Raw genomic sequence first — 975 nt, forward strand, 5'->3', positions numbered from 1 at the left:
GTTAAAACATCATCCTAAAGTTTCCGTATGTGGTAATGTTTGTGGAAGCAAAGTGTTCTGAGTGTTTCTGAGGCTAATAGAAAATAAATTAGCCTGAAGAAAAGTCTTGTGTTGGCCTTTCTGTGCAAATGCATTCACATAACTAACTCTAAGCTAGTGTGTATAGGAGTCATTCCAAGATAACAAGGGAAGAAGCTATTTTTAAAAACCTGCACAGAGCAGTCAGCAGACCTATCTGACCAGTCCTTTGGTCTTTTGCCCCTTCTTCTGCACCAGGAACATTTTTATTGAAGAACACCTCTCTCCAGACACCTCCAGCCAGGAATGCTGCTTTATACCTTGGATTAATAAACAATGCTACTGAAGAAGACTCACTGCTTTCTCTTCTCATGAAAAAAAAAAAAAGCTATCAGGGAATTAAAGGAATGTGGCTGAGTATCTTCCATACTTTTGCCTCCATCATTGAATAATCAGTATTATTTGTGGGAAATGCGTATCATGAGGTTGCCAGTGTTTTGCTTCTCAGTTGTATTTCCACAATCTGAAAATTACCAGCAAAATTCCTGCCCACCAGTCGCCACCTACAGGTCAAAAGCAACCTTCACACGGGACCCTGCTTTGCACTATTACACAGTTTTTGAGAGTAACAGTACTTCCCAACCTTTTAAAAATCCCAAGGTAAACTTATTTGAATACAAGTCCCACAGAATAGGATATTATCCAATACCTCGTGCTGAAAATGTGATCAAGGGAAGAAAGACTGGAGAAGCCACAATTCACTTGAACTCTTCACAGTGGACCAAAATGAAGTTATGGCATCCTAACCAGGGAATAGTGCCAGAGAGAAAAAGGTACAAAGTCAAAAGCGAATGAAATTATTTTAAAATTAAGACAACTGTATATTAACAATATTCAGCATGAACAGCATGTAAGATTTACACCATTGTATATACCATCATGATCTGATTTTTGCAC

At 38.4% G+C, this 975-nt stretch overlaps 1 annotated feature.

Annotated features, from left to right (window-relative positions):
• Positions 446 to 740: a silencer, noted in NCBI's record as "tiled region #13303; K562 Repressive DNase matched - State 12:CtcfO". NCBI's record gives its function as "represses a minimal TATA promoter and a strong SV40 promoter by Sharpr-MPRA in K562 cells {active_cell/tissue: K562}" and the evidence as "EXISTENCE:reporter gene assay evidence [ECO:0000049][PMID:27701403]".

Source organism: Homo sapiens, chromosome X, assembly GCF_000001405.40.
Source record: "Homo sapiens chromosome X, GRCh38.p14 Primary Assembly".
Taxonomy (NCBI): domain Eukaryota; kingdom Metazoa; phylum Chordata; class Mammalia; order Primates; family Hominidae; genus Homo; species Homo sapiens.